The following is a 19,020-nucleotide window of genomic DNA, read 5'->3' as shown; positions in this document are numbered from 1 at the left end:
ACTCTGTCTCAAAAGAAAGAAAGAAAGAAAGAAAGAAAATGCCATAGGTAAAAAAGGTCCCATTTCCCGTAGCAATAAAAAATAAAACTACAAGGGAAAAGTAAATCTAATAAAACACACAAAATCTTTACTGAAGGACACAAAAAGACCAGAATAGAAAGATCAACTATATTTACAAATGGAAAGATGCAATTTCAGTCGAAAGCCCAGCAGAGCTTTTCACATGGGGCAAAGAAAGGGCCAAACATAATGGAGGCAATATTTGAAGAAGAAAAAAGGAGGAAGAAGAGGAGGAGATTGCTTGTCATATGTGATGAACCCTTTATTATAAGACTATAATGATTAAAACAGAAATAGACAAATTAGCCAACAGAATAGAAGAGACACTTGAATATTCCAGAAGCAGCATTTCAAGTAAGTGTGGAGATAGCCTCTAATTGGCTATCACATGGCAAAACAATTTAAAAATTAGATCTCTACCTCAACCATCAACAAAATAAATTCCTGAGGAATTAATCTAAATATGAAAATTTTAAAACTTTTGAAAGACAATGTAGAAGAAATCATTGTAATAAAGATATTTTAAAACACAAATTATAAGAGGATGGCCAGGCGCACTGGTTTAGGCCTGTAACTCTTGCATTTTGGGAGGCTGAGGAAGGAGGATTGCTTGAACCCAGGAGTTCAAGACCAGCCTGGGGAACATAGTGAGACCCTGACTCTACAAAAAAATTTTTAAAATTAGCCGGGCGTGGTGGCATGCACCTGTGGTCCCAGCTACTCAGGAGGCTGATGCAGGAGGATCACTTGAGCCTAGGAGTTCGAGGCTGCAGTGAGCCATGAATGTGCCACTGCACTCCGATGTGGGTGACAGGATGAGACCTAGTCTCAAAAACAAAACAAAACAAAACCCAAGTTGTAAGATGAAAAGATGGATACATTTGACAGCATTAAAATTAAAATCTGAATAACAAAAGACATCGAAGCAAAATAAAAATACAAGAAATAGAGTGGGAAAAGAGAGGTGCATTGTGCATAACTGGTGAAAGATAAGTGTACAGAATATATAAAGAACACCTACACATTAAAGGAAAAAGATAACTCAGTAGGAAAAAACAGGGAAAGGTGGTGAGCAGGCACAGTACAGAAGAGGAAACGTCTAGTGGTCAATAAGTACATGGGGATGCTGAACATCACTAGCAGTCAGGATAGGTAGATTAAATACAGTAGATGAGACACAATTTCACATTTATTCGGTTGGCATAAGATTTTCAAGTGTGACATTGTGGGGAAATTAGAACTCATATCTGCTGCTTGTGATTAAATTGGTACAACTGCTTTGGAGAGTAACTTATCAAAGTCATTAACAAAGTTAATGACACAAATACCCTAGAATGATATACATGTCATGTGAGCATGGGAGACACAAACAAGGATGGTTGTAACGACAAGGAAACTGGTCAGATCCATCAATAAAATGACTAACTAAAAAGATCTAGCCCTGGTTCCTTTTCGGCTTCTAACTAACGATGAGACTTTTGCTTCTGCGTAGAATGTTCTTCCCAAGATATTCTTGGGCTCATTCCCTTACCCACGTCAGGTCTGTGTGGAAATTCCACCTGTTCAGAGAGACTCCCCGACCCTGCCTCCTCACCCCTTAACATCGCATTGTTAAGCAGGGCAATTTAAAGGATAAGAATGTAGACTTTGGCCAGACTGAGTTCGAATTCTAGCTTTACCAAGTGCTATCTGTGTGACTATAGGCAAGTTATTTAAATTTTCTGTGACTCATTTTCCTCCTCTGTAAAATGGGGATAATAACAGTTTTCACCTGGGAGGGCTGTTGTGAGGACTGAACAAGTTAATATGCCAGAGGTAGAACGGTGCCTGATATAAAAGGAAGTGCTAGTTAAGAGTAAATTGTATGGCAGTTAAAATGAGTGAATGAACTAGACTGGAGTGACATTGACAAGTCTCATAAACATGCTGCTGAGCGGACAGCGTGAGTCCCACACATACCTCCCTCACCCTTCCCTGGACTTCTGCGATAATTACGAGCAGCCCACAGTCTAGTCCTTGATTACACCCCACTGCTTGATGTCCTTTTTACAGGTTTTAGTTCCTACCACTGCCGTCCATGACCGTCACAGCCCGGCCAAGTAGGTTTGCAGCAGTATTCATCAAACTGAATGAGTTAAATTAGGTCTGAAAAATCTTTTCTTTCTTTCTTCATCTTTTTTTTTTTTTTTTTTTTTTTTGCGATGGGGTCTTCCTGTACTATCCAGGCTTGTCTTGAACTCCTGGACCCACACACAATCTTCCTGCCTTGGCCTCTCAAAGTGCTGGGATCACAGGCATGAGCCACTGCACCCAGATGCTGTATTTTAAGATGACATAAAGACAGAAGAGTGAGGGTAATGGAGCAGATGAGCAACGCAGGCGCCCGGAAAAGGAGAGAGAATCCCTGCACCAGGTGTTTCCAAGGCAGGAATTCGGTGACTCCAGGACAGAGTGGGGGCTGTCACCCTACCCCCATTCTGAAGGCCTGGAGTTCAGTGGGGAAGAGCCATTAATGGCTGCATTCAAGGAAGACTGTGCATTAAAAAGATCTGGAAAGATCCATGCCTAGCCCTTAACACTGGCTAGAGGAGGGAGTGGGGGATTAGGGGCAGCCGGGCAAATGGAGGCTTTCTTTCTACTCTTTATTTATTTATTTATTTATTTATTTATTTATTATTTATTTATTTGAGACAGAGTCTGGCTTTGTTACCCAGGCTGGAGTGTAGTAGCGCGATCTCACTGCAACCTCTGCCTCTGGAGTTCAAGCAATCTCCCACCTCAGCCTCCCGAGTAGCTGGGACTACAGGTGTGCACCACCACGCCTGGCTAATTTTTGTATTTTTTTAGTAGAGAAGGGGTTTCGCCATTTGGCCAGGCTGGTCTTGAACCCCTGATCCACCTGTCTCAGCCTTCCAAAGTGCTGGGATTACAGGCATGAGCCACTGCAACTGGCCTCTATTTTCTACTTTTACTCTATACACTTTCGCACTGTTTGAATTTTGTCCAGTGAGAAAAATGTGTTTATTACTTGTGAGACATTAAAAAGAAAAAATTATATTATACATTAGAGGTACTCAGTGAATGGGCATTACTATTATTCTTTAAAATAAAGACTTTCCACCCAGCATAGAGGTCCCCAGCCAGGAAGGCACCCTGCTTGGGCTGGGAGGGGGCTATTATCTGCAGCCTCTCCCTCACACAGCCCAGCCGGCCCTTCAGAAAGTCTCACTGGCTCTACTTTCAAAGCACGTCCTGAATCCAATCTCTTCCCTTATCTAGTTTCCACCTTGCTCCCTCAAACACACTCTGCCCATCGTTCAGAGATCTTAAGAAGCCTAATCAGATGGTTGCCACATTCTCAACACTTGCCATATGTCAGGTATTGTTCTAAGCAGGTATTCATATTAGCTCAGCCAATCCTATAACCAGGGGTTCCCAACCCCCAGGCCATGGCCCCGGGTCTGTGGCCTGTTAGGAACCAGGCCGCACAGCAGGAGGTAAGCAGCAGGTGAAGCTTCTTCTGTATTTACAGCGGCTCCCCATCACTCACATTACCGCCTGAGCTCCGCGTCCTGTCAGATCAGTGGCAGCACTAGATTCTTATAGGAGCGTGAACCTTATTGTGAACTGTGCATGGGAGGGATCTAGGTTGTGCACTCCTTATGAGAATCTAATGCCTAATGATCTGTCACTGTCTCCCATCACCCTCAGATGGGACTGCCTACTTGCAGGAAAACAAGCTCAGGGCTCTGATTCTACCTTATGGTGAGTTGTATAATTATTTCATTATATATTAAAACATAATGATAATAGAAGTAAAGTGCACAACAAATGTAATGCGCTTGAATCATTCTGAAACCATCCCCCACCAACCCTGGTGTGTGGAAAAATTGTCTTCCACAAAACCAGTCGCTGGTGTCAACTGGAGACCGCTGCTGTAACAATGCCGGGAACTAGGCGCTATTAGGAGCTCCCATTTGTGGACGGAGAAACAGAGGCGCAGAACGTTCAATAACTTACTTCAGGCATGCATCATGAAATGGCAGAGCTGGGATCCCACCTGAGGAGCTCACGCCCTCTGCCCCCTCCCCACTTGCTGTCACAGCCGTCTGTGCTCCCCCTCCCTTAGGTGAGATGAGAGCTTGTGGCTAAGGCCACATGACCTGGCCCCTGTTGACCTCCCACCACCTTTTCCACACCGCAGGCTTCGTGGCTGCTCCTCCACCAGGAATTCTCCTTTTCAGGAGCTCCCAGTAGCTTGTTCTATCACTATACCCAGCTCTAGGCTTGAATGTCACCTCCTCAGAAAGGCTTCCCTGACCACCTTCCTGAAATAGTCTCCATTTCATTCTCAGTCCCTTTCCTGCTTTAATTTTATTCATAGATCATATCACTTCCCGACCTCACACTAGAAGGTGCCTTGTTTGAATGTTTATTATCTGTTTCTTTTCTCTAGAATTTCTGCTCCACAAGGGCGGGGACCTTGTCCTCAGTGCCTGGAACAGAGCTCTGTCTAGAATAGGAGCTCTGTAAATGAATAAATGCCCCTCCAAGGTAGCTCACTAGGCTGTTGGGCTTGTTCCTTGGGGCTGCTAGATGCATCTGCTGTCCGGGACAGTGTTTCTCTCTCTGGGTTAGCAGTGTAGCAGTTCTTCTCGCTGAGGCTCCTGGACCAGCAGGACAGAAGGTGAAGTGAGAGCTTCTGTATTCTCTCCCCACCCCTTCCTATTCTTCTCCCACTCTGGGCTCCCTCCTGTCTACCCCTCCAGCCTCAGGGCGTTCATCTTTCCAGCCACCTGGAAATGGTGGACAATACGTCCCCATCAGGGTGATAGAGATTTGAAGAGTTGCCTCTCCCAAGGGTATTTGCATTTTGAAAGAGGCCAGGCAGGAGCAACACTGAACCCCAATGTATGACTGTGCCGTGGTGTAGCTTCTGACAGCACCATGTTCGATGTTCGAGGGAGATACTGTCCTTTACTCTCCCAGGCACTGGGAGACAGAGCATCTCACAGGTAAGGGCACTGAGGGAGAGGGACAGGGGTCCAGGCTCACCCTGCATGTTAGAGTCTGGGGCCTGGCAGACCCCAACCTTCAAACGTCACAGCTGCCGCTATCCTACTCCAACCAGCTCTTCCCTTCCCTTCCTGCCACCCAGGCCTGGCTTTGTCCCCCAAAGCATCCCCAGCCTCCCTCACGCTCCTTCTGTCTCTGTGGAATCCCCCAAGAGACTTCCCAGGGGACCCAGAACACAGGCCTCACCCATTTCAATCCCGCAGATGGCCAGGGCGGCGATCACAGCACCTGCCGATGTCCCCGCAAAGCGGTGGGCTGTTTCCAGCATCCGGGGGGCCAGGTCCCGCAGGGCGTCCACAGCCCCCGCCTGGTAGAAGGAGAGGAATCCACTGCCCGAGAAGGAGATGGAGTGAGGGGTGTCCGGGTCCCCCTTGAACACCTGTTCTTCCATCTCCTCGGCCTCTGACTTTCTGCGGAAGGCGGAGCCACCCTTCAGCACTTGCCTGCCCGAGCCTGGGCTGCCGCTCCCTGTAGGAACTCCCTACCCAGCTTCCCTGCCACCCCGGAGCTTGGAATGTGGCTGTCTCTACCCGGCTGGAGCAACCACAGGCTGCTCAGGAAGCTGCCTCAGCCTGTTAAGCTCCGCCAGGAGGCAACTCCAAAGGTTGGAAAGGGGCCCCAGAATGAGATGCAGAAGGCTCCCCCGGTGTGTGAGCAGGGTCTTGGTCCTGTGAGCCCCCCACTGGCTTCATTTCTTGGCTAGATTCATCTCGGGCACGGGATCCTCAGCCCTCTGCCCATCCATGGTATACCAGGGCGCATTCACTGCTCCCCAGCACAGGGCCATGCCCAAGGAGGCGGGCTCTGCCCAGCCCTCAGCTGCAACATTCAGTTGCAAAACCTCCGTGATGGTTATCGGTGTACACCTCCCTCCCCAACATGCTGCTGCGGCCGTGAAGGGCTTCCAAGCCCGCCTCCCTCCAGGAGGACGGTGCCTACCCCATCTCTTTTGGACGGGTCCCCCAAAAGAGATGCCCCTCCTGGGCTCCTTCAGGCTATGTGGTATGTGTGATGTGTTACACAAGCATTTTTATTTGTTTTTCTTACATAAACACCCCTTTGTTTATTCACTTGTTTATTTACATGTTAGCATTGGCCCTGGGTAAAATTTTAAGAGAAGTGTGACTTTGGCGGCCCCACCCACCACCGCCTCTGCACCTCTCTCTGTTTCTTCTCCTGGGCCCTTCACTGACCCTGTGACCTTGGTCAGTGCCCTCTCGACAAGCCCCAAGCCCTCATGCTATCTTCTAAGTGTGCAGGAAGAAATCAACCTGAAATCTAGATCATTCTAAGTGTGTGAGGCTTCGTGTTGCGTGTTCTTCTTCCCGCTCAGAAATGAGAAGTTTGAGATAGCAATGTTTAACCCCAAGGAGGAGCAGCTGGGGAGGTCACCTGTGGGGACGTCGGGGTCAGGGCAGAGAGACGTTTTGGTAAGGGAGGTGGTGTGAGAGGACCAGGGTTAGCTCCAGGGGCTGCGGTTCTGCCCCCTGAGGGGCTGTATCATGTGGTCCTGATGGGGAGGAGTGGTTCTCACACCCACAAAATGTCCCCTCATGGAGATATAACAAAGAAGGCAAGATGGCGTCTCCCGCTCCCCTCAAAGACCACACAGCAACAGGACCAGAATCAGAATCAAGACACCAAGGCCTCCACCAAGTGCCAATCCAGGATGTGACATCAGTGGCTTCCCCGCTTCTGGGGAGCTTGCACCATTCTGGTGGACTCACTTATCTGCATGGGAATTCCACAGTGAGGGCAAGGCCAGGCTTCAGTTAGGAGGGAGTTTTCTGTCTTGGGTAGGTAATTCCAGGCATATCATTGCCTCAGGTTGAAAAGAGAGCTTTAGATTAGATAAAGTGTGTGTGCGTACATGCGTGTGTATGCATGTGTGCATGTGTGTGCAGATATCTGAGGCATACTGCTGGGGTGGGGGCGGGTGTGTCAGGGTGGAGTCCAGTCAGCTTTTGGACAGCAGAGACCCTGCCCCCTTCCTGGGAGGTGAGGTCAGCTCCACTGAGGGCTTGTGTGCCAAGCCCTGTGCTGTGTCGGGGCCCTGGGGGACAGGAGCACACAGAAGCTCCATCCCCAAATCAGATATTTGCAGGCTTCTTGGGAACAAGACAGGCAAATGTGAAATAAGCAGAAAACTGTACAAGGCAATCTATAATTAAGTACTAAACTGTGCAGGGCTGAGATTCCTGCCAGAAAAGTTAGGAGGCGGGGCTGAGCAGTGTGGGCTGGAACATCTGAGGAGCTGTGCGGCGGAGGTGTGGGCTGCGGGACTGGAGGCAGCTGGGAGGAGCAGGCAGGCACTGGTCGAGGAGCAGCAAGAGCCCCTTGCAGAGAAGGGAAGGGGTGTAATGGGACCTGTTTCACAGGATGAAGGGCTTTGGATGAGAACCCTTCTGAGTCATGACATTGGATCCCAACTCTGCTATTTACAGGCAGTGTGACCTGTGCATGATCTCTCTGGGCCTCAGTTTTCCTCATCTGTGAAAGGGACAATACTGTCATTCCTATGCTGCACAGTAGCTGTAAAGGCTAAAGGTAATGGCTGTAGGACGCCTGGCACACGGCACGTCTGTGGTTATCAGAGGGTAGTAAGAGTCAAGGCTTCTGGAACAGATAGACCCCAGAGATAAGGTGGAATAGAAAGGCAGGGTCCAAAGGGGAAGGCTTGATCCACATGCGACATGAGGAGGAGCTTGGAGAGGTCTCAAGATGCAGAGCCTTGGAAGGAAGATGAGACTGGGGCTGGAGAATGAGGAAGGAGGATGGTGGCCCATTCTCCTAGGATGATGGTGGCCAGGCCAGGGTGGCAGCTGCAGGAAGACAAGTTAATGAAGTTATTGCTGCAGAAGACTCTCAGGGCCAGGGACTGGTTGGATGGGCAGGGTGAGTCAAGGCTGAGGCCTCACTTTTAGCCTGGGGGTAGGGAGGAGTGGGGCTGCCTCCTGCAGAGTTGGGGAAACTGGAACAGACCTGGGGAAGCTGGGTGGAGGATGATTTTACTTTAAGATGCATCTGAGATGACAGCAAGACATGGGCACTATCCATGGGGGGGGCAGGGATGGCACCAGAACCAAGGACAGAGATCCCTGCCACTGAGGCAGCAGAGAAGGGTAAGCAGGCGGAGGAGGGTGTGGGGTCATGTTGAGGGGAGGACAGCTATGGATAAGTTTCTTTTTCCGGGTCATCCCAGTGAAATAGAAAGCAAGGCCACCTGCTGTACATGGGCTTCAGGCACCTGGGGGGCTGGGGACCCACCACCCCTTCAGAGACAGTGCATCCTGACATGGCCCCCGTTGTCCCCACCTGCTTGGACCCGGCTGACTTCCACGAATGCACATATGTTTCTGTTCCCTGTGGACGTGGAGACAGCAATGACGCACAGCCTCCTCCATGCAAACACGCCAGCCAGAAATCCGTGACTATACCCAGCAAGGCCGTGGAGGAGCTGCTAACCTGGACCCCAAAGGCTGAGCCTGGCAGACTGGTCTCCACAGCTGACAAGGGCTGGTGAGCAGCAGGCCTCAGCCTGTCCTCTGCTGGGTGCTAAACTCTTGAGAAGGTTCCTTTCATTCGCCCTGGTTCCTGACCCTCTACTCACGCCCTAAGAACTTCAAGCGAATGACATCGAGGAAGAATCACTTTCCAGCATCTCTGTATTTGATTTTTAGTCATCTCATGATCTTTGCAGGTGTTTTTTAACTAAGTTAACACTGCTTGTCTGACTCATCCATCCCTGAGGAAATCACGTGGGAGAAACAGATTGCTTATCACACACTTCCAACAAGACAACCCAAAATGAATTTCTAGAGGAAACTGGACTTCCCATAAGTTTAAGATATGTGAAGCCACCCAGGATGGATACTGGGGAGAAAGATGCACATAGACTCCAGACTGGCTTTTACCTGATGGGGTATCACCCTTTGCTTACCTCCTGAAAATGTTAATTTAGTGAAGAACCTGGTGGTTTCTTGATTCGGTAGAGTAGGAAGGTCACAACATCACCCGTGATTATTCTTGCCAAAACGATGTCACCTGAATCTAATTGAGGCCTAACTTCCAGCTTACAGTAAATATGGAGCATGAAGGATGCCAGGTGCAAACAATCAGACAAATGGAGCCTGTGGGAGGCTGGCAGAGACTGTTGCTGGCTACCAGCAGCCATCTGCGGCCCACTTACTCCTTGCCCACCTCCCTGTAAAGCAGCTGAAAGGCCTGGTCCTTGGTTTCAGCTAAGGGTGAATCATGAGCTCACGGTGATCATCAGACCCCACCCCCCTGGACAATGAGAAGTAACAGGGACTCTGCTGGATTGCTTCTTGGAAAGATTTCCCTCCTTGATAAAAGGTAAAAGGCACACAGGGAGACCCCTGTAGCCCCATCCCATTTTCTTCCTGACAGAGACACTGTCCTGGGAGCATATGGTGTGCGGATCTATGACAACTGTTTTACATCCATCAGGGGAAACGTGGCAGACACACTGAGTGTATTGGTTACCCATTGCTTCATGACGATTTACCCTGAAACATGGCACTTTCAAACAATAAGCATGTATTACCTCACACCATTTTTGAGGGTCTGGAAACTGCAAGTGGCTTAGCAGGTGGTTCTCGCTCTTGTCTCTCAAGGTTGCATTCAGGCTGATAGCCAGGGGTGCAGTCATCTCAAGGCTCGTTGGAGCTAAAGAACCCACTTCCAAACTCACCCTTCTGGTTGCCAGTGGGTATCAGTTCTTGGTCAATGTTGACAAAAGCTTTAGTGCCTCATCAAGTGGGCCTCTCTATTGGGAGCCAACTTTCTTGGCAGCTGACTTTCTTCAGTGAGAGATGAAGAGAGTGAGAGAGAGAATGAGGGAAGGAGAGTGTGTGAGCCCAAGATGGGAGCTGCAGCCTTTTTATAACCTAACCTCTGATGTAATCTCAGCTATATTCTATTGGTCACACAGACCAGCCCTGGTAAAATGTAGGAAAAGTGTGAATACCAGAGGGTGGGTATTATCAAGGGCAAATTTGAAGGCTGGCTAAGGCATCAAAAATCGTATAAGAGAAAGCAAGAAAAACCCTGGGTCCTTGATGAGATTCTTGTGTGACTGCACCAACCCCCACACCATTTGTGTGTGTGCTTCCTATGATGACAGATAACTCAATGTCTTTGTTTTTAGTCACTGTTCCCTTGATATTTGCTGCTGAAAACCTCATGGCCAGTGCAAGAGCTCTTAAATATTTCTAGTAAAATGTAGCCCTTATTTTGAGAAGAATGAATGAAATATGCCCTTTGCTTTTAGTAAAAACAAAAGAAATACTTTAAGGTATAGATACTTTGTTATCGTAGGTAAAATAACTGATTCATGAAAATTCTGAAAACTTAATTTGAAAATTTGTATATATTTTTAGAAATTGTTTACCAACTTATTTTTGTTAGAAGCCAAGAAGTAGATTTTTTTTCTCTTCCCTACCCCTCCTGAAAAATACAGTGGGGGTCTGATAACTTTTTTCTCTTTGAGACAGAGTTTCGCTTTTGTTGCCCAGGATGGAGTGCAATGGCACTATCTCGGCTCATTGCAACCACCGCGTCCCAGGTTCAAGACATTCTCCTGCCTCAGCCTCCCAAGTAGCTGGGATTACAGGTATGTGCCAAAACGCCCAGCTAATTTTTGTATTTTCAGTAGAGATGGGGTTTCACCATGTTGACTAGGCTAGTCACAAACTCCTGACCTCAGGTGACCCGCCCCCCTCAGCTTCCCAAAATGCTCGGATTACAGACATGAGCCACCATGCCTGGTCCTGATAACTAATTAAACAGCCCTCCACTGTAGCACTGGCCTTTTGAGGTGTGTGACTTAATTTTTGAATACTTGACCAAACATGTAGACATATCCATGGTGGGGGTAGAAGTGTTTAAATGTTTCCAAAAAGTCAGGAATTTTTAAAGGTACAATGTAAGGAGAGAGGAGAAAGTTTGGCACAGCTGAGATGGGCACAGTTGAGAAGCTTGCTGGCTTCCTGAGCTGTTGTTATTTTGTAGGACCTTGAGATTATTCATGCAGTCTAAATAGTATCTTTTTTCTTATAATGAAAGAGCTCTAGCATAAAGTACCCAAACTAGTGCAGCAAACATTCATATACCCACCAGCCAGACTGAAGAAATCTTAACATTTTACTACATTTGGCTCAGCTATTTCCCTGGTTTTAAAGCAATGAGACGTCACAAGTAAAGGTGAAACCTCCTCAAACTGTTTCCTAATCAATATCACCTTTCACTTCCCCTCCCAGGAGAACCAGGGAGGGAGTGTTCCAGGTTGAAGGGACTCTTTCCCTTCCATGTTTTTTATACTTTCAGTATATTAATATGTTTCATAAACAATATATACTATCGTTTTATAAATCTTTTTAAAAATTTCACATAAACAAACACATTGCCTTTATTTTGCAAATTGCTGTTTTTACTTGGTGTTATGATCCCTGGCTCCAGTCTTTTCCATTTTCCTGCTTTCTGGTGACCCATTATGAGACCATGGGACAACATGTATCATTCTCTTCCTGATGGACATTTGGGTTGTTTCTAGTGTTTTGCTGTAACCAGCAATGCCACAGTGAATCCTTTTGTGTACATCCTTCCTTGGCCCTGCATAGGAATTTCTCAGGTCACAATGTGGGTTTATCAATGGTACCCACAGGATTTCAGTTGATGGAGGTGACTGAGTTACCACATGGAGAGGCTAGTGTCATTGAAGAGATTTCTGTTGCACATACTTACATTTCCTTGCCATGCAGGACTGCATGGGGAAGCTCCAGGTTCGGTCATGGGGCAGAAGGGACGAAAGGAGAGCACAGCCCAGAGCCTTTACGGTGTTTTCCGTGGGAAAGGGAAGGGAAGCGGGGAAGCAGCTTAGGGGCAGGGAAGCAGCTTAGGACTGGCTGATTCAAATCAAGGTGGCGGGCTCTGGGTCATAGGGTTGGTCTCTAGTTGACTGGTGCCTGGCTCTGGGTGATTTTGCCTCTTGGAGTGTAAAAGCCAGATAGAGAGGGTGGATCAGAGCATGGGCTAGTTTACATATGAGAGGCGCCGCTGCCCCACCCACCCCAGCCCTCTGCTATCTCTAAGAATGGGGTAGCCCTGGGAGGGGCAGCCTTGCCCCCATCAGTGAGGCCACAAATGCCAGAACATCAAAAATTCACAAAATAAGAAAGCATGGTTAATACAATGGGCATTTCTGCAACTCTGCAAGGAGTTGCTCGATTGCTCTCTAGAGTGGGTGTGCCAGTTTCCACTCCCATTGAGTGTTTATAAGAGTCCTAATCACGTCACTTCTCTTATTACCAGATTTAAAACGTTTTGCCAGTCTGAGGGCTATGAAATGCTATCTCACTGTTGTTTAATTTATATTTTCCTTATTTTTTGGTGAAGCTAGGCATCATTTCATTTCATTCATTGGTTGTTCCTGTTTCCTTTTCTCTGAATACCTTGTTCTTAGCCTTTTCCATTTGGGAATGCAGGGCAGGGGGAGTGTTGTCTTTTTGTTAATAACATGTAGACGTTGGTACTAATATTGGCTCCGCTGAATGCATTGGAAATATCCTCTCCCGGTGTGCAGTTTTTTAGTCAACATTTTAATGGTGTCTTCGGTGATACAAAAGATTTAAATTTTAATGTAATAAATTGTGTCATTCTTTTCTTTTATAGTTTATATTTTTTTGTGTTTATGGTTTATGTTTTAAAGGCATCAGGATGCTCTCCCATATAAAATAAAATCTTGGTTATTTTAAACGATTTGACCATCAAGCCTAAGCTATTCATTCAGTCTCCTTTGAAAAGCTGCATTTTGGTGGGCAATTTGGCACCATCTATTTAAAAATCAATACTTGCAGGAATTTATCCTACAGAAATACTCATAGGAGTCCTCCAAAAATATATGCAAAGAATTTTTAAATACAGCATCAATTGTAATAGCAAATATCCAGAAATAACCTAAAAGTATATCAATGGCAAGCTAGTTAAATGAATGATGGTATAGCCACATAATGCAATTCTCTGCAGCTACTGAAAAGAATAATTGTGGACCTGGGTGTGCTCATAGGGAACGTTCTCCAAGATATATTGGTAAGAAGGAAAAATAACGATAAAGAAACAAGGATTCAGGCAATATAGTATGCTACCATTTATGTCTAAAAGGTAGAGGAAGAGCTTCTGTATGTATATGCATGTAACATTTCAGAAATAAAACCGCTGAGGATGGTTACTTCTGAGGAAGGGACTGGGGCTTGCGGGTGGAGGGAAACCCATTTTTCACTGCTAGCCTCTTGTGTTGTTTTCATTGTTACTTCCATTACAGTAAACAAAGAAGAATTACTGTGGATGGTCACATTTTCTGTGCGCTGCTATTTGTTTTGGCATTTGGAATATTCTGAGGTGAAGAGGGCCTTTTGTTCCAATAGCTATGAAGAAATTGAATTATTAGAAATGGGGCAGGAGGTTTCATTACACGTGCTGCGTAGCCCCGTCTGGCTGATGAGATTTAGGCTTGCTGTTGTCTGGGGATTCAGGGCAGAGTGGGAGAGTGGAGGATGGGAGGGTTGTCTGTGGGACAGAGGTAGGGTGGGACGAGGTGGGGGACAGGGGAAAGTGGATTGAAGGTGGGACAGGTCTGAGCCAGAGGATCAGCCTGGGCTTCTGTAGCCCTAGGACCAACTGTGTGAGGTCTGGGTCACCCCCAGGCTCTCAGTCTCCTTGCACTGCCTGGCTGCAGGGTTGGAAGAACCTCTGCACCCCCTCCCCAGTGGAGAAGGAGAATCCCAATCTCAAAGGCTCTGGCAGGCGATTCTCCCCAGAGGATAAAAAGCCGTGCTCATCCTAGGAAAATGTTCATCCAATAAAAAAGAAATAAAGGCACCCTGAGTTTACCCTGGTTAAAAGAAGAGAAAGGGATCAGATCAGCATCCATGGAGCAAAGACAAGATGTGCCGCCAGGGTTAAGTCCAGCCGCCTTTCTTAGGGCGGTACAGTATGGCCACTTAGGGAGTCCAGCTGTCTTAGTTCAAGACACAGCTATGTTAGTTGCACCTTTGACAAATTATTTGACATCTCTGTGCCTTAGCTTTCTCATCTAGAAAATGGGAAAATAATCAAACTTGCCTCCTAGGGTTTTCTCCTGGCACATGGCAAGTGCTTACCAAGTGTTAACTGTTTTTATTCTTTATTTCTCGCTTTTGTAAGTTCAGCACAGCTGGGCCCTAAGACTGTGATATGGTCAGTGCACGAAGATTGGAACCACGTCTGAGGTGAACACACGTTCACCAAACTCACAAGCCTGATGAATGAATTGTAACCTAACTTGTTAATTTACATTGACCTGAATACGTAGGTAAACCCATCAACACTTTCCTCCTCCCTTTTCCTCATGTGGGAGCCCAGACTGTCCTCAGAGGCTCTTTAGGGGATGGGAGCACTTCTGTGCCTTATTTACTTCCCTGGCTGTTCCTGCTGTTTGACTGTAAGCCCCTTAGGGGAAGACACTTCGGTACACAGGAGGATTGCCATTCATGGTGGTCAGAAAAATATCTGTTGAATTAGTGATGGTCATTGCAAGTGCTCTCTATCATAGCAAAACACTGGAAACAACCTAAGTGTCCAACAACAGGGATTTGTTATTAAATTGTGGTCTAGTCACCTCACAAAACTGAACAATCATTAAAAATGATCATGAAAATGGTCGTGGCCAAGCTTGGTGGCTCATGCCTGAAATCCCAGCACTTTGGGAAGCCAAGGAGGGAGGATTGCTTGAGCCCAGCCGTTCAAAGCCAGCCTGGGGGACATGGCAAAACCTCATCTCTACAAAACGCACACACAAAATATTAGCCGGGTGTGGTGGTGCATGCCTGTGGTCCCAGCTACTTGGGAGGCTGAGGCAGGAGGATTGCTTGAGCCTGGGAGGTCAAGGCTGCAGTGTGCTGTGATGGCACCACTGCATGCACTCCAGGCTGGGTGACAGAGCCCGCACCCTCCTCCCTGCCCCAGAAAAAAATCATATGGAAAGATAGATAAATGCTTGTGATGTAATCTTAGAAAAACAAAATAAATAAAAATAATCGAAACAGACCTGATGTGGATTCATCTGTATGATATTTTAAGTACAAAATGAGGTTCAGAAGAGGGTGTATAATATGCTACCATTTGTGTAAAAAAGGGGGCAAAGAACATAAGACTTCACTTGCAGATATAAGGATAAACTACCTCTGAATGAGACACAAGAGACTGAAAACATCGGTGGCCTCTGGGGAGGGGACCAAGAGATGGAAAGTAGGGAAACCTGTCCCTGACAATACTTTTGCACCTTCTGAATGTTGAACCATGTGAATGTGTTTCTGATTCAAAATTTAAATAATTTAAAACACTTTCTTATACATAGCAAAGTAAAAGTAAAATAAATATACTTTTTCCATATATTTCTCAATCCTAAGGCATATATTTTCCCCCCAAGTTGTAAGGTTTCTGATATTAAGATGTATCTCACCATCAATTGCCATTTTATTTTTTATCCTTATTTTTATATTTTAGGGACAGGGTCATACTCTGTCACCCAGGCTGGAGTGCAGTGATGTGTCATAGCTCACTGCAGCCTTAAACTCTTGGGCTCAAGCAATCCTCCTGCTTCAGCCTCCTAGTAGCTAGGACTACAGGCACACAACACAACACCTGCTTATTTTTAATTTTTTGTAGAGATGGGGTCTCACTGTGTTGCCCAGGCTGGTCTCAAACTCCTGGCCTCAAGTGATCCTCCCTCCTCAGCCTCCCAAAGTGCTGGGATTATAGGTATGAGCCTGGCCTCAATGGTCTTTCATTTCTTAAAAAAAAAATTTCAACTTTTATTTTAGATTTAGGTAGTACATATGCAGATTTGTTACCTGGGTACATTTTGTGATGCTGAGGTTTGGGGTACAACTGATCCTGTCACCCAGGTACTAAGCATAGTACTCAATAGTTTTTGAACTCTTGCCCTCCTCCCTCCCTCCCTAGTAGATCCCAGTGTCTACTGTTGCATCTTTATGTGCTTGAGTACCCACTGTTTAGCTCCCACTTATAAGTGAGAACATGCGGTATCTGGTTTTCTGTTCCTGAGTTAATTTGTGTAGGATAATGGCCTCTGGCAACATCCATGTTGCTGCAAAGGATGATTTCATTCTTTTTTATGGCTGTATAGTATTAATGTTCATTCTTATTAGGTTCTCACAGTGTTTTTTTTTTCTCCTGAAAAGCTTTTACTAAATCGATGTTGGATCTTGAAACTGATAGTATTTTATAATCAAGGAGATACAGTACATAAAAATGTGGGTGTGTGGAGAGGGACTGTACAGTGAAAACCATTGTGTGGTGGGATTGCGGGGATCTTTCTTTTTCAAAATAGTCTTTACTAGTATATTTACTTCACCTTTTCAGTATTTTTTTTCTTTAAACACAGTTTTAACTGCTTGCAGCAGATAATCGATGGTTTTGGAGGAGTTCCCCAGATAACCTGCAAAGCAATAACCCCATGAAAGTCACCAACTCCTCAGCTTAGTTTAGCTTAAATATAACTGACAAAGCCCTGAGCCCTAAATTTAGCTGTGGTTCCAAGGAAAGACCCTTTGTCTTTGGATTTTTCATGAGAAATCCACCTTCTAGGAACAGGTTGTGCAAAACTGAGATAATACTCCCTTGGTCACTAGGAGGGTCTGTTCCAGCAATTGGTTCAGACCTCAAGTTTTGGTCTGAACCATTGCTGTGGTTCACAACACAATGATGAGTTGGAAATGGTGATACAACCCAGAACCTGCTGGCCAGACTGCCATAGTGGGGCAGCACACTGAGCATTGTGACCAAAGGGTGGCCTTGAAACCCTGCTGCTTCCAGAAATTCAGACCAGTCCTGACAAATCTCTGTGGATAAAGGACTTCTAAATCAAATAAATACATTTAAGGAATATTGCAGGTGAGATTGGGATAAGCACTTGGAGAGCGACAATGCAAACCTTCATATTAAAGGCACTGAAAAGTTCTGTGTAGCAAGTTTTATTGGATTCTGGTCCCTTTCTTCCTGACTAAACAAATCCTAATTCTGTTTACCTTCTTCAGGGCAGCCAAGCCCTTCAGGACAAGAAGACCCCAGAACAAAGGAGTTTAAGAAAGAGCAGATGAAAACAATTCTGGTCCATAAGATAGAGAATAAACCTGCTGGGGAATTCTGAGAAAGATGTCTTTGCTCTTTAAAAAGACACTAACAAAAATTTTGCATTCAGTAGTGGCTGAGTACCTCCCATAGGACCACAAACCTCCCACATGACAAAATTATAAAAAACAACTATGAAAACTCTGGAGAGTGATCAAAAGGCATGGATATTGGAGGGGAGACAATACTTGGAAGAAGGGAATAGCAATGGATTTTTTAAAAAATTTTTTGTAGTTTGTTTGCTGAGGGAAGCCCCTAGTCAGGGATGTGTGGGGTGGTTAAAACTAGGATGTAAAGCTCACGCTTGTACTGGCGTGAAAAACCAGAGGACAGAGCTCTGGTGACTACACAGCTGGAAAGTGAGGAAGGAAATCCTGGAAAGGAGAAGAAGCCATAAATGAGTAGCCTCAAATTCTGTGTATAGACTCTGCTCAAATCTCTGAACCCCACATGTGCAGGACAGACTCCAAGCTGCATGGCTAAGGCTAAATTATCTAAACTAAGATTTCAGCTCCCAGCCAGATGCAGTGGCTCACACCTGTAATCCAGGCAGTTTGGGAGGCTGAGGCGGGAGGATTGCTTGATACCAGGAGTTCTAGACCAGCCTGGGCAATGTAGCAAAACCTCATCTCTACAAAAATAAAAATAAAATAAAGATTTCAGCTCCTATTCATCAGAGGGAAGAGCATTTTCAGTTTGAGAGTTCGGCCAATTTAACGGCTAGCTAAAACAAATAAACACAAACAGTAATACTTTTCAGAAGAACAAAAGAAATCCAGAGTTCCTACACTGTACACTCGCAATATTCAGGAGACAGTTCAAAGATGCTTGACATTAGAAGCAGGAAAATGTGACCCATACAAAAGAGAAAAAGGAATCAATGGAGACCAACCTTGAGACAACTCAGATGTAAAAACTAACAGACAAGAATTTTAAAGCAGCTATTATAACCATTTTCAAGAATGTAAATGAGAATATGCTCATAATGAATGAAAAGAAGGGAAACCTCAGCAGATAAACAAAAACTGTAAAAAGACCTCAGTGGGAATTCTAGCACTGAAAAATACAACATCTGAAAGAAAAAGACAAACAAGCAATAACCCATTTTTTTGCCTTTGGCCATCATCAGGATGTGATGTTTATTTTGCCACAGTCAACTTCTGGTCATAAGGATAGCCATCCTGAGGACAAGGCCTATGTGCTGTGCCATCTATGGCAGAGCAAGAAGACAGAAGGAATGTGGGTCTTTAATCATGTCTCTGAGCCGCTGGACTAATTAGAATTTCCCTGATGCCAAATGTCTTGTACTGGGAGAAAAATAAAATATCCTTATTTAAGCAATTTCTGTTTGGATTTTATGTTACTAACATGAGAAAGAAAGCGTTGTTGGGGCTCAGAAAATGATACCCTAAAATATGCTGTTTTGGACTTCAAACTGAGAGTACCTGGGGAGCAGCAAATGCAGGGAAGGGTTTTCTCTGAAGTTCTCCACCCAGAAGCTTCTCTGGAAGATATTAAATTGTTGTGAATCCCCTCCCCACATATTTCACCTACTGGAGGAAACTGATGCATATTGCAAAAAGGAAGACTAGAGTTGACACCACACCCAGATCCCAGGCAAAATTTGTCCCAGGCTATTGTCTGTTCTTCAGAACCGTTAATCTCCCCTAAAAA

General features: G+C 45.7%; 1 protein-coding gene across 6 annotated transcripts in view, besides 1 other annotated feature; it reads right to left on the bottom strand.

The window, feature by feature from the left end:
• The window catches only part of PNPLA1 (patatin like domain 1, omega-hydroxyceramide transacylase), a 70,788-nt gene that overhangs the window by 37,969 nt on the left and 13,799 nt on the right, over nt 1–19,020 (bottom strand). For 2 of the 6 annotated variants that reach the window (NM_001374623.1, XM_047418678.1), the window contains exon 1: nt 5,323–5,927. The exons of 3 other annotated variants lie outside the window; for them this stretch is intronic. In NM_001374623.1, the coding sequence (NP_001361552.1) occupies nt 5,323–5,527 (205 nt within the window). In that variant the 5' untranslated portion in view covers nt 5,528–5,927. Of the gene's footprint in view, nt 1–5,322; nt 5,928–19,020 lie in introns of those variants that run through there. One more of the 6 variants, NM_001145717.1, reaches the window with a different exon arrangement.
• Nucleotides 7,233–7,819: an enhancer, noted in NCBI's record as "H3K4me1 hESC enhancer chr6:36235945-36236531 (GRCh37/hg19 assembly coordinates)". NCBI's record gives its function as "activates a minimal SCP1, AML or CMV promoter by ChIP-STARR-seq in primed H9 embryonic stem cells {active_cell/tissue: H9 hESC(primed)}" and the evidence as "EXISTENCE:reporter gene assay evidence [ECO:0000049][PMID:30033119]".

This window comes from Homo sapiens, chromosome 6 (genome assembly GCF_000001405.40).
Source record: "Homo sapiens chromosome 6, GRCh38.p14 Primary Assembly".
Taxonomy (NCBI): domain Eukaryota; kingdom Metazoa; phylum Chordata; class Mammalia; order Primates; family Hominidae; genus Homo; species Homo sapiens.
The sequence above is the reverse complement of the archived record's forward strand: the minus strand, read 5'-3'. Positions and strand labels throughout refer to the sequence as shown.